The sequence below is a fragment of the Homo sapiens genome, chromosome 6, assembly GCF_000001405.40.
Source record: "Homo sapiens chromosome 6, GRCh38.p14 Primary Assembly".
In the NCBI taxonomy this organism is placed as follows: domain Eukaryota; kingdom Metazoa; phylum Chordata; class Mammalia; order Primates; family Hominidae; genus Homo; species Homo sapiens.
This window is the reverse complement of record NC_000006.12, coordinates 109,301,477-109,314,691: the sequence shown is the minus strand read 5'-3', so window position 1 is coordinate 109,314,691 and position 13,215 is coordinate 109,301,477. Positions and strand designations below refer to the sequence as shown.

At 43.8% G+C, this 13,215-nt stretch overlaps 2 pseudogenes across 1 annotated transcript in view, besides 4 other annotated features; both read right to left on the bottom strand.

Moving 5' to 3' along the window:
• Positions 1 to 13,215, bottom strand: part of CCDC162P (coiled-coil domain containing 162, pseudogene) — a 189,118-nt pseudogene that overhangs the window by 40,257 nt on the left and 135,646 nt on the right. The window contains exons 30-33 of the transcript NR_152435.1: positions 8,580 to 8,733; positions 6,615 to 6,710; positions 5,038 to 5,190; positions 400 to 629 (exon numbers count right to left, since the gene is read on the bottom strand). The product of NR_152435.1 is annotated as a coiled-coil domain containing 162, pseudogene (transcript). The remainder of the gene's footprint in view (positions 1 to 399; positions 630 to 5,037; positions 5,191 to 6,614; positions 6,711 to 8,579; positions 8,734 to 13,215) is intronic.
• RNY3P11 (RNY3 pseudogene 11) lies at positions 9,098 to 9,197 on the bottom strand (annotated as a pseudogene).
• Positions 9,968 to 10,112: an enhancer, noted in NCBI's record as "oligo 6:109625879:G:A used in the MPRA construct". NCBI's record gives its function as "activates a minimal TATA promoter by MPRA in K562 erythroleukemia cells, with higher activity for rs1546723 A versus G constructs {active_cell/tissue: K562}" and the evidence as "EXISTENCE:reporter gene assay evidence [ECO:0000049][PMID:27259154]".
• Positions 10,009 to 10,032: a transcriptional cis regulatory region, noted in NCBI's record as "range of bases deleted by CRISPR/Cas-9 editing among clones D6 and D7". NCBI's record gives its function as "positively regulates CD164, FIG4 and FOXO3 gene expression in K562 erythroleukemia cells {active_cell/tissue: K562}" and the evidence as "EXISTENCE:mutant phenotype evidence [ECO:0000015][PMID:27259154]".
• Position 10,016: a transcriptional cis regulatory region, noted in NCBI's record as "MPRA functional variant 6:109625879:G:A corresponding to rs1546723". NCBI's record gives its function as "higher enhancer activity for the A versus G allele by MPRA in K562 erythroleukemia cells {active_cell/tissue: K562}" and the evidence as "EXISTENCE:reporter gene assay evidence [ECO:0000049][PMID:27259154]".
• Positions 10,262 to 10,452: a silencer, noted in NCBI's record as "fragment chr6:109625443-109625633 (GRCh37/hg19 assembly coordinates)". NCBI's record gives its function as "represses an EF-1alpha promoter that drives an FKBP-Casp9 reporter gene in an ReSE screen in phorbol 12-myristate 13-acetate-treated (for megakaryocytic differentiation) K562 erythroleukemia cells {active_cell/tissue: K562(+PMA)}" and the evidence as "EXISTENCE:reporter gene assay evidence [ECO:0000049][PMID:32094911]".

The following is a 13,215-nucleotide window of genomic DNA, read 5'->3' as shown; positions in this document are numbered from 1 at the left end:
TCAGCCTCCCCAAGTGCTGGGATTACAGCTGTGAGCCACCACGCCTGGCCTAAAGCAAACGTTCTTAAGCTTGGTAAGGCCCAGGGTGTATGGGGGTGCTTAGCAAATGTTCGTTTGTTAACAGACACGTGGCAGAAGCAACACGCCTTCCCAGCCAGCTACGTCATTCGAGCCAGGGCCTGCAGCTGCTAGAATGCCTCCCATTCCTCAGACTTGTGCCGCATGTGCCATCTGTATATCTCTGGCTGCAATGCCACAAGCTCTGAGAGACTCAGTCCGTGGGTCTAACGGGTCATATTAGGATTCATGGACCAAATCTCGCCCTCAGACTAAGGGCAGGAATCTGCCATCCCCCAGGTTCTAGTCATGGCCATGAATTTCAGCATCAGCAACACTCACTCATAGAGCTCTGAAAACCGTTTGTGGAGAGAGACAGAGTTGATATCCTGGCCTTGCAGCTTGAGTCGGCCCCAGTGCTCCTTTAGCACTTCCAGCTGCTTCCACAGTATCAGAAATGATCTCAGCAAAGCAAAGGACATCACCGCATCGCACAGGCCCTCCAGCAGCTCAGAGGTCTTTGGGCTGCTTCGGAACTGACTTCTGAATCCTGGCACTTTGGACCAATCTGGCTGAAAGCATTATGGAAATCCTTCTTTATTGATCATGGACCAACACAGGCTAACCTTTCACATGCAGCCTGTGCAAAACAAAGTCTTTGGAGAATTAACTTTTTCCCCAGGAGGAATGGTTTACAGGCCCACAGCACATATAGAGTTGAGAGAGGTTGACCATCCTTCATGAACAGTTTATGGAAAGGATAGGAATGTCTCAACTGCAGCTTTTTGCTTGGGTCTGGAACCATTCATTTTGAAAACTCGCTTACTTGCATACTAACGTTTTATCTGCCTTTGAAAAACTGAGCCTTTTGTGTTTTCCCTCTGCATTCTGGAAAGTGCTCTTCAATATACCTGAGATTAAAGTTCCCATCACGGTGGGGCCAAGAAGTAACTTTCCATTCAGGATTTTACCCATCTTATGGGTAAAGAAATAGAAAGTTAATTTATCCTACCTCCTGTTTCTTCTCCTCTTTTAGAAGTTAGGCAGGAAACATTTCTCTTAATTAGAATTTATCATTCAATAAGAAAGATTACTTTAAAATTATGATTTCTTCATTTATTCATTGGTGCTTTCCTTAAGTAAATAATTGTGGAGGGGCTGCTATGAGCCCTGGAGGACATGGAGGAAACAAGGTATTCAGGTCCTTGTTTGTCCTGCTGTCCTGCAGCCAGCGGTCTGAGGGCCAGGGTCACCCAGAGTGAGGAACAAAATGAGGATCACGTCCAGGCCCACTGCCTGTACATAGTGTCTCAGTCACAGAAAAAGGAGCTCTTCTTGGCAGACCAGGTTGGCAAATCCCATGACGTTATGATAAAAAGAGGCTTAGAGAGCATTTAGGTGACAGTACCCGAGACACTCACGTTTCCTGGCTAGAAACAGGGAGAACAACCTGGTATAATTGGATCCTAGAGCAGTGGTATTAACATATCTAAGGAAAAGCCTGCCTGCCAGGAAGAGTATTGGTCAAATTGTCCAAGGAAGAATTGATAAGCAAGAACCAGGGGAGAGCGAGTTCCTGTAGACTGCTGGTAACTCCTCAGTCTTGTAGCCTGCCTCCCCAACAATCAGCTAGTGCATGGATTTCCAGATTTTATTTTATCCTCAGAGCTCTTTCATCAAATGAATTCTTACACACTGGCCCAAATATTCAACAGACCAAGGCCAAGCATGGTGACATGAAGGGGACAGCCTGGAGGCCATGTAATTGCCGCCCCCGCTCCCCAGCTCAAGAAGCCCCAGGGTATCTCTGAGGAACCCCAGGGCTCCTTGGACCACAATTTTAAAAGCCTTGAGCCAATTCATCACCTTTACTTTGGAGCTTTGGAGACTGAGGCCTAGTGAGATCAAAAAACTTATAGCATAACTGGGGCAGGAACTCAGGAGTCCTGACTCTCAGGGCAGTATAAATTCTACTGCTTCCTATTGTCTATGAATAGCTAAATACTCCTAAATAAAAACACACGAAATAAAATTAATTAAAATAAATAATAATTTTAAAGCAAACTTGTTTGTTAATATGTTCATATGATGAGAAGTCTTTTCTACCAACGTGCTTTAATTTAATAGACAAGAGAAGGAACAGGAGCCAAAATAAATAACAAGGTGGAGGATGGTGGGGAATGTCAGGAAAAGATGGTAATCCATCATAGACAGGGCCAAAATATGGCAAACAGAAGGACCTGAGGGCCCAGCATGTGTTTGGATCCTGGCACAATTTGGTCTATACCCAGCTTTGCAAATGATCACACTGGGTGAAGATCTAATTATGCTGTGGAATGTAGATGGCACATATAAAACCACTTCTTTTTCTACTAATTGGCCCCAAGTGGACTTGTGACTCAGTTTAGCTAAAAAGACACAAGGAAAATCTAATGGGGGGGCTTCTAGAAAATATTCCCCTCCTTGATAAAAAGCTAGATCTCCAAGGAGAAAGCTTTTTTGCTCCTGTTTTTATCTTACAAACATGAGGGAGATGTTTCCCAATACACCTAAATGGCAGAGCCTGAGTCCTTGAAGTCACTGTCAAGGGGCTACACCAACCTGAACTGCCTCCTTCTAGACGTCTTATTATGGAGGATTAATATGCTTCCCTAATTTAGGTTATAGCTAATGGAACAACCTGTTACTTGCACCAGAAGCACTCTAACTGGCACAGAGAAGCAACAGGGTAAGCGTGGATGATCAGAAGAAGCTTCCTAAAGAGAGTGGTTTGGAAGTGGAAATCTGAAGGATAAGTAAGAGTTAATCAGGTGATGAAGCAGAAAGAGGAAGGAGAGGGAAGTTTTCCACTAGAGTGACCAGTTTGGGAGAAGTACAGAAGAGAGCATGGTGCATTTGACAAATCGAAAGACATTGAGGGTAGAAATATTGGCAGGAGTCAAGTCACGAGGGGCTGATGAAAGCATTTGGACTCTTCTCAGGGCATCTGGAATCCATTGAAGAGTTATAGTAAAGGAAGTGATATAATCAGGCTTGCATTTAAAAATATTACCCTGGTGAATGGATTGGAAGGAGGTGAGAATAAGTGTATTGAATCCAATTGGAGGTCAAGATCATAGCCTAGTTAGTGATCAGGGATGATGATGGTTTGGACTCATAGAAGTGGGTACTGTGGGGGAACAGAGAAAGAAGACAAACTTGAAAGATATTAAAATAATTGATAGTAAAACTTGGTGACTGGTTGTGGGGTGTGGGACAGAAGTCAAAGATGGTGCCCAGAGTTTTTGGCTTGGCCAACTGGGCAGGTAGTGGTAAACGGACAGGGAAGGGCAAGATTTAGGGAGTAAGATGACCTTAGCTTGAGAAACGCTGTCTCTGAGATGGAATAAGTGGAGATATCCAGCAGGCAATTGAACATGTGAGTCTGATAGGATTGATATTTGGGCTAGACATACAGATTTGGATCATTGCATGTGAATGTCATCAAAGTTATAAAAGTGGATGGGTTTTCCTAGGGAGAGGGTGAGGAATGGAGCAACCTAGTAGAGAAGAGGATGAGGGAGCTCTAGGGCCAGACCGTTGGGTTGGAATCTGAGCTTCTTTCCTCATTAACCATGTGACTTTGGCCATGTTACTTAACCTTTTTAAGCCTTAGTATTCTTATCTATAAAATGAGAACAATGAAACAACCTATCTCATGGAATTATTGTGAGGACTAAATAAATGAATACATAAAAAGCAATCTGAACAGACCTCAACTTCTAGGCAATAATAGCAGTGGTATTGATAGTATTCAGGGCTGACTTAACAGCTTGGGCAGAGGAGGCACAGTGCCTCGGGCCCACAAAATGCTTTATTTTTTTTTAATCAGAAAAAAAGACCTTTTAGGCTAAATAAAATGCTTTAATATATGATATTAATATATTTTTCTTTGTACTAGCACAATGTTAAAATATAATTTTTAATGGTTTTTCATGGAGGAGGGAAGAGCCCACAAAGGTAAAAGTGTTAGGGACTGCGGAAGTCAAAATGTGGCCCTGGTAGCAGTGGTGGGATAGATTATAAAAAAATTTTAGGGTTGGCAGAGGTAGAGGACCCTACAGAAGGGTCTGAGAAGAGGGGCTCAGCAATGTTGGAGGAAAGCTAGGAGAGACTCATGCTGTAGAAGCCAAGGGCAGAGAGGCTTTGAGAAGGACTCTGTGTCAAATGCTGCCAAGGGGTTAGGTAGAAAGGTGACTGAAAGTACCCAGAGGATTTAGTGACAAAGACCATCTCTTGATGAGAGAGGTTTCAGTAGCAAGATTGGGAAGACAGACTGCAGTGCTTCGAGGAGTGGCAGGAAGGTAAGAAAATGGAGATGATGGGTTTAGGCATTGCTCAGAAAGTTTGGCTCGGACAGAAAAGCTCTTCAAGTGCGGGCACCAGCTAGTTTGTCTAGCATCCAAACATGTCTCTGCCTAGTTCCTGGATATATGCAAAATTGTTTAAAGTCATGACACTAGGAGCGCTAGTGGCCCTTGCACCTTAGAGCTTCAGAATGATAAACCCAGAGGAGGCAGTGCCTGCCCAGGAGACCATAGGCCAGTAGTTGAGTGATGAGGACAAGAGCCCAGGCCTGAGATGTCCACCTGGGGCTTCTATCAGACCCCTCTGGCCCTTCCAACTCCAGTCCTAGATGTATGACTCACAAAGAAAGCATCCAGTTGGCGCTTTTGTTTCATTTGGTTTCAATAGACCTCCCACAACTTTTGGCGTATTTTTAAAATTAAAATAGATGTATATACCATAATCATGGAACTTAGAAAATGCTTTGCAGTGGCTACCCCTGCTCCACTGTTGCTCCCAGGTGGTGTTGGCACAGTCCTGGGACCTACTGAGAGAGGCTGTGGGAAAACATGACTCCCCGGACCATCTCCCCAACAGAGAGGTCCTTCAGTTCAATATAGTACTATCAATATGGAAACGATACCCCCAGAATACCTGTGTATTTTTGCCCAGTGTGGCTTGCTGTCTTTGGGGGGCCTCCATGGTCACATGATAGCTACTCAGAACATCTTCCAGTAGCAGTTGCACACCCACCAGTTCTCCATGAGCCACCTTGCGGTCACGGTCACTCAGCCCACAGAGGCACAGCTAAAAAAAAACAAAAAAACCTTCCATTTGAAGACCATATATATATTTTACATATGGTTTTCAGGAAGAAAACTAGGAGTAACTGTATTTACAAGAACCCATTCCCTCAACTGCTAGAAAATTCATAAAAACCAGAGTAACATTTCTAACTTAAAGTTTTCTTTGAGCACATCAAATTTTGGCTCTGTATGAAAATGCCAAGTTTCCAGCCCTTACAGCAGATCTGTACATGGTGAATGTATAGTGTGATATCAATTTTCCCTTAAAAGTACAGATATAAACACACATATGCAGAGGGAAAATACCAGGGAAATAAAATGTGAACTGTAATTGTCTCTTAGTTGTGGAACTATGGTTGATTTTTTATTTTATTTTATTTTATTTTATTTTTTAAGAGAGTCTTACACTGTCACCAGGCTGGAGTGCAGTGGTACGATCTCAGCTCACTGCAACCTCCGTCTCCTGGGTTCAGGTGATTCTCATGCCTTAGCCTTCTGAGTAGCTGGGACTACAGGCGTGTGCCACCACACCCAGCTAATTTTTGCATTTTCAGTAGACACAGGCTTTCACCTTGTTGCCCAGGCTGGTCTTGAACTCCTGAGCTCAAGAGATCTGCCCACCTTGGCCTCCCAAAGTGCTGAGATTACAGGCATGAGCCACCACACCCAGCCATATGGTTAATTTTTTAAGACCACTTTTACTATTTTACTTAAAAAACCTGTTCTACTTATGGATAATTTTGAATATATAGAAATCAAACAGAAAAGTTCCCATCACCCAGCCCCAACAACCATTAACCTGTGGCCAGTGCTACCCCATCCCACCCACTCCCCACCTCCATATTGTTTTGAAGCGTTATTTATGGTTGATTTTCATGTTGTTCTTAATACTTTTCTAAGCTTTCTATTTTTTAAATAAAAACAATATTTACTTAAATAATCAGGGGAAAACATTTAATAATGAAAAGAATCAAACTATTTAAAGGAAGTTAACAGCAAAAAAGAAAACAATGAAAAGAAATTCTCCCTACGAGTCCTGCTTTAAAAAGTTCCCTTCCCACAACTGTTTATGGACAGGTCAGGAGTCACACATCTCTGAGCTGCCAGCCTGGGAGTTTCTCTAAGAGGCCCAGCCCATGACTGGAGATGACTGGCCATTCTCCCAGATCACTACTGTTACGAAAACTGCAGCTGAGTCTACAACCCAGGCCCATGCCAGTTGAGAGCATGCTTCCCTTCTATCATAAGAAAATGTGACTCACCTCGTGACCCTGGGTTTACAGCCTCAAAATCAAACACCCTGCTTATCTCACACATTATTCATCGTGGGTGAGAGTAGGAGGATCTGACCTGTGAACCCAATGGCAACCATCTTTGCAGTCTGCGCTCAGTTCTCTCTGCAACAATGGAGAAGACCTATCCTACCTGCATATTATATTCTAGGGTATCTGGGCTGTTACTCATAACTGGGAATGGTCCTCCATCTTCCAGAAATGCTCTCCAAGGAAACAGCTCAAATGCCTAAGAGAACAAAATAATAAAGATGATAATGTTGTACTTTGTGTTCAAAATTAATAGATATCTGTATATGAATAGGATATCTGTGTCTGTACCGCAAAACAATTTTGGATGACTTATTTATTATGTGTAAGTATTTCTTGATAGTTCCTAGAGATATAGAAGAGACAGCAATAATTTATTTTTTAAATTGTTTTCTCAGCAGATGGTGAAACACAGAAGAGTACTTAAGATTTCAGTGTAACTAATCAGCACCAGTGTTCAGAAGTTCCAGAACAGTATAACACCAATGGGACATATTTAAAATCAATAAAAATAAATTTACTCAAATGCTCTCAATATCAGGAACCTTAAAAAGTTGTCCTTCATCATTATTGTGCTCCAATTCTCGGTAACAACTCAAGACCAGCACCACAAATTATTACATGTGAGTCTCTGGCTCCTCCATATCACTAACCAACAGCTAAGGCATCCTCTGTCCTTTGTGACACCATCTGCAGCCCTGGAACCAGTGGGCCTGCCTATCTGACTCCATTCTACACTTCCAGACCTGGTTCTGGTTTTAGTCAAGTCCTGGAGTTGGAGTTGATTCTGACAGCAAGGAGCCGGGACTCCTATATCCACCTAATCCCAGGCAACACCCAAAGGAAGCAAGAGCAGATCCAATGGTCACGGTCCGACCCTGTCTTCTGGGTCTAAATGAGGGCCATGGCTTGGGCCAAAAGTCACTGTCTTGCAGCCACTGAAGGTAGAAATGTGGGACTTGCTTGAGGTTGATGTTGGTGTCCCTTGGCTTAGCATTATAAAATCAGAATATTAAACTGGAAATTTTGGAGTCAAAAGACCAGGGATTGTGAGGTAGTTTGAAAGAGATATCCACTAGTTCTTTGACACTCCTCCTGTAAAGAGGTGGAGCTTACTTCCCCTCCCCTTGAATGTGTTCTGGACTTAGTGACTCACTTCCAGTGAAAAGAATATGACAGAAGTGATGGAGAGTCTGAAATCTGGTAATAAAAACACTGCGACTTCCATCTTGGGTTCTCTCTTGGACTGTTTGTGTTGGGGGAAGCCATCGGCTGTGTTGCAAAGAAGCTCTGTGCAGAAGCCCATGTGAATAAGCCTGGAAGTGGATCTTCTGGTGCCCACCAGCAGCCATAGGAGTGAGCTTGGAGGCAGGTTGTCCTCCAGTTGAGCCTTGAGATGATTACAGCCCTGGCCAACATCTTGACTCATGAGAGACCCTGAGCCAGAACTACCCACCTGAGCTGCTCCCAGATTCCTGATCCTCAGAAACTATGTTAGATAATGAATGTCTATTGTTTTAATCTGCCAAACTTTAGGGTAAATCATTGTGCAGCAATAAGTAACTAATACAGCTTGCAACCTGGTGCTGCCATGATTCTGGAATAGTCTGATCTCTGGCCTTCCTGAATCTTGAACTCTTTGGTTGTAGAAGGTGGGTAATATTGTTCCTGCCTAGGAGCAACAATAGTTGCCAGGATTACCTTCAATAACAGGTGTTATAACCAGGGCTATTGAAAACCCAGCTACTGACGTCATTTATGTATTGCAATTGCTATCATGACGATTTATTAAGTGGAGAAGATTGTTTGTTTTGCTATCAACTGTGAACAGACAAGCTGTTGCCACGATCAGCCTGTTGAGTGTTTGGAGACAAAGACCCTGACTGGGAATCACAGCCGGCCCTGGGGCCCAGACTCTTCCACTGTGCAAGTGAAGCAGAGCCAGTGAAGACAGAGGGCATTAAAGTCTTGAAAGCCCCTGCAGAATCTAAACTAAATGGAAACAAACTGACTAGATTCCCTACACACTGCACACCATTTACAGTATAAAAATACATCTGAAACACACCTGGAGGCTCCGTGGATCCAGTGGCTGGGGCAGGCTGAGCTGTGAGGCAAAAATGCTCTTCCTGAGAGAGTTGCTCAGTGCTGGTAGCCCATGGCACATGCCGTCTGTGACAGACTGGTAGGCAGGAACATTTCCAGCTGCCAAAAATGTTCTTCTACCAAAACATGGGGGGGCATTTCATTAAAAGCAGTTACTTACACTTCTAAAGTTCAAAACTTTCCTCAAAGTTAGAGAAGCAAGAAAACATTTTGATATATTAACAGGTTCCTTCTTCAGCCACATCAACCCCCATGCCCCTTGCCCTCGACTTTCACAGTTCGTAGCCCTCACGGGGAGGGTTGGCATACTCTCGACTAGCAATGTCTGCCAGAAGAGTCTGCAATGGTGGAAATGTCCTATATTTGCACTGTCCAGTAGAGTAGCCTCTGGCCACGTGTGGCAGTTGTACACTTGAAATGTGACTACTGTGACTGAGGGAATGAATTTTTAATTTTCTTTTTCTTCTTTTTCTTTTTTTTAAGGGCTAGTCAAGTGAAGCAGTGTGAGTGGAGAAAGAATAAAGCAATCTGTAACTGGTTGTGATCAATTAGTTGTAAACACGACTGCACTCAGACCAGCTTGAATTTTTAATTTTCTTTCATTTAAATTAATAATAATTTTAATTAAAGTAAATTAAATAGCCACATGTGGCTACTGAACTGAATAGTGAAGCTGTAGCTCTAGAAAAAAGCTATCAATTGTTTATTGAATGAATTATTTTAAGACCAACAGCTGAGACAATAGTTCTTTATAAAAACTAAATTTTAAATTTTAAGCCTCCTTGGGGTTTGGAGGAGAAAAGTTCTTGTTTGGTTTTAAACAAAACATGGCTTTGTATATCAAGAACCACAAACCCTGAAGACTGGAGCATGAAATTTATACCATAAGTCAGAGAGAAGGAAGTATGTATGATAGATTAGAATGATTTTTCTTGCCTAAAAGGAAATAACAGTTAAACAAGGAAAGACTATTTCTAGAGCTTAGTTCTAGTGGATGCCTAAGGAAAGATGCTGGATAAGTTGGAGGAGGGTATCCCAGAGCAGAAGGTACCTTTTGCTTGGATTCTCTGTGAGGTGGCCTCCCAGGAAGACTGGCAGCCCCTCAAAGTGGGGAGAAAGACCTCCACATGTGGGTACCCAGAGGGGTGCTGAACAGCAGGCTAACCAGAAGAGGCCAGCTCACCCACAGCAGAGATAAGGGAAGTGGCTGTGTCTTCCCAACTGCCAGGAAGATTTGAAAGCACTGCCACAAACTTAGATCACCTCTGAGAGGATGGAAGAACAAGAAGAGTGTCATGTGAGCCCTAAACTTAAGGTCCAAAATTTGTGCTGCCTTGACTTCTGGCAAAATCGGGAGGCCTCAAATAGCTTAGCCACAAAGTTCCCCACTCCCCACTCCGCTCCCACAGATAAGGTCTCCAGGTTTAACGACCTTCCTTATCAAAGGAACCAGGTGCAATTCCTGCTTATCCCTGAGTAGTAGTTTCAGTTCCCTGCCAGACCACAGCATTATTCAAATCAATCACCCCTTCCTGTGTGAAGCACAGAACATCACACTCTCCTGATATTACAAAACCTGCCTCCCACAGCCCTTGCTTGTTCACTCTGTTCCCAAGTGGCCCTGTGTAGGGGGGCAGTGTCCTCTTCCTCTGGATTGTGTCTGTGACTAATAAATTACCATTCACCCCATCTGTCCAGGGTCAGGTGTTGTGTGTTCAGCCATCCCCATGACCCTAAGGCAGAACCCTTCCCTCTCCAGCAAGTGAAGAGGAGGTGATTAAAACAAAGGGGAAGAGGGAGAATCTTGAATTAACTGATTTTAAATCGCAAACGGATCACTTTTAAACTCCAAGTGTGAGTCAGTGATGTGGCATTGGAAAGTTTAATCTTCTTGCCATCAGTAAAAGCTATTTTGAACCTCAGGGAACTCACAGGGCACATGCTAGAGTTTTCCTCCAGGTAACAACATAATGAAACCTGGAAAGTGGCCCGGAGGAGGACAGGCAAAAGCTCTTTGCTTATCAGATACCAAAAACGAGGGCCGTGGCCATGAGTTCAGCACTGCTCATGTGAGGGCCCAGGCTCCTTTGTGTCTCCCAGGAATCCCCAGACAACCCAAAGCACACTTTATTTTTAATTTTTATTTCTTTTTGTGTTTAGAGACAGGATCTCTGATGCCCAGGCTGGAGTGCAGCAGCACAACCATAGCTCACAACAGTCTCAAACTCCTGGGCTCAAGGGATCCTCCCACATAGGCCTCCCAAAGTGCTGGGATGAAAGGAGTGAGCCACCACACCCAGCTGTCAAAGCACACATAAATATCTGCATGTTTAGAGAGAGCTGAGTAAGTGAGCATGAAAATAAAAACACATTCAAAAATGAAGAGAAGGCTGGGTGCAGTGGCTCACACCTATACCCAGCACTCGGATCACTTGAGGTCAGGAGTTCGAGACTAGCCTGGCCAACATGGTGAAACCCCATCTCTACGAAAAATACAAAAATTAGCCGGGTGTGGTTGCACACAACTGTAATCCCAGCAACTCGGGAGGCTGAGGCACGAGAGTCACTTAAACCTGGGAGGCAGAGGTGGCAGTGAGCTGAGGTCATGCCACTGCACTCTAGCCTGGGAGACAGAGTGAGACTCTGTCTCAAAAACAAAAACAAAAATGAAGAGAAAAGCAACAAACATTCAAGGAATGAGAGGCTCGTGTTGTTTTCTTTAGAAATTCCTTGATGTACTCCTAAAGCAGGCTTGCTGCAGGAAGGATTATATTATCAGGATATCTCTTCAGCTTTCTCCTTTTTACCCTAATCACCCTGAACATCAACAATACATTCAGACTAAAGGCATGTTTCATGCTATATATTTTATACCGTGCTATAGAGTAACTTTGAGGGACTTCTTTCTTTCCTTCTACCCCTAAAGTGCAAACGAATTGTATTCTTTAAATCAGGGGATAAAAAACTAAACTTTTTTTTTTTTGAGATGGAGTTTCGCTCTTTAGCCCAGGCTGGAGTGCAGTGGCGAGATCTCAGCTCACCCGCCTCCCGGGTTCACACCATTCTCCTGCCTCAGCCTCCCGAGTAGCTGGGACTACAGGTGCCCGTCACCATGCCCGGCTAATTTTTTTTTTTTTTTTTTTGTATTTTTAGTAGAGACGGGGTTTCACTGTGTTAGCCAGGATGGTCTTGATCTCCTGACCTTGTGATCCACCCACCTCGGCCTCCCAAAGTGCTGGGATTACAGGCTTGAGCCACCGCGCCCAGCCTAAACTTTTTCTTAAAGGACCAGATGGTAAATATTTTCATCTTTGCAGACCCTACGGACTCTGTGGCAACTATTCAGCTCCGTGGTTGTAGTGTGAAAGCGGTGACAATCCGTAAGTGAATGGGCATGACTGTGTTCCAACAATGTTTCATTTACGGACATGAAAATATGAACTCCATAGCATTTTCATGGGTCACAAAATACTATTCTTTTACACATTTTTTTCAACCATTTAAAGATGGGAAGGCCATCCTTAGCCCACAGACCATACAAAAATCGGCAGAGACCTCCAGCAGTAGTTTGCCAACTCCTTACTTAAATAGATGAGATTGGATAGAACTGCTTTGTCACCCAAGCATTTACCTTCAATGCAAATGACTAATTCACCTGGCACTAAAGATAACTCAATCCTCGGGCATTTCTTGAATTGGCTAATCAATAACTCCTGCAGGTTGGTGGACATGTCCAGAGATGAATGCTGGGCCCTGGTCAGTGTGATCCAACCCTTCGGATGACAGCTATCAATTTCCATCAGCCCTTTGGCTAGTAGAGGGGGGTTGAGACGGGCAGAGTGAAATGTTTTGTGCCTAGAAACATGCACATAGCCAGTACCCAAGATGATCTATGCCACAGAGAAGCAGGAGCCAAATTTTCAGCGACTTTACAGGGCTACTGTCCTGTCACCCCTGAGCAACATCCTTCCTCCCCCTATACCCCACCCTCATCTGTGAAGCATGCCGCCCTTATTCCAGGTAAGAGTTCAGTTTTTCCTTTGCAAATTCTGGAGAAGCCTTCAGCTTACATGGGCAGAAAATTCCTGGGGTAAACAGTCAGGTTTGCTCAGTCTTGGTGAGCTCCAGGAAGGGTCAGGGAACTGTCCCAAGCTTCCTATCTCTTTCCATTCTCTGAGGACTTCCCTTGTTTACAGGTTCAGCACTAAGTAAAACAATCAAGAGGGATGACATTTATCTTTTAGCTTCTCTTTTTCTCCTGCCTCTTGCCTTTTCTTCAGCATCCTCTTCTCTGTCCATGCTGCTGCTTGGTCTCCATCATAGATCTCGGGTTTTGGAGTCAAACACACCTAGGTTCTAATTCTAGTCTGCCACTTACTAGCTGTATAATTCCAAACACACACAATCTGAACAGCTCTGAAGAAAAAAGGCTGGGGAAATGTAACCAGTGGAGGACACAGTGGGGTGAACCATCTGGGTGATTCTCTCCAGAGGGTCACAGAAAAGTACATAAAACCAGAAATAGGACACAATGCCCTCCATTTCTGTAGACCGAGTGTGAGGACAAAGAAAGCCCTGGCAAAGCAATTCCAGGGGAT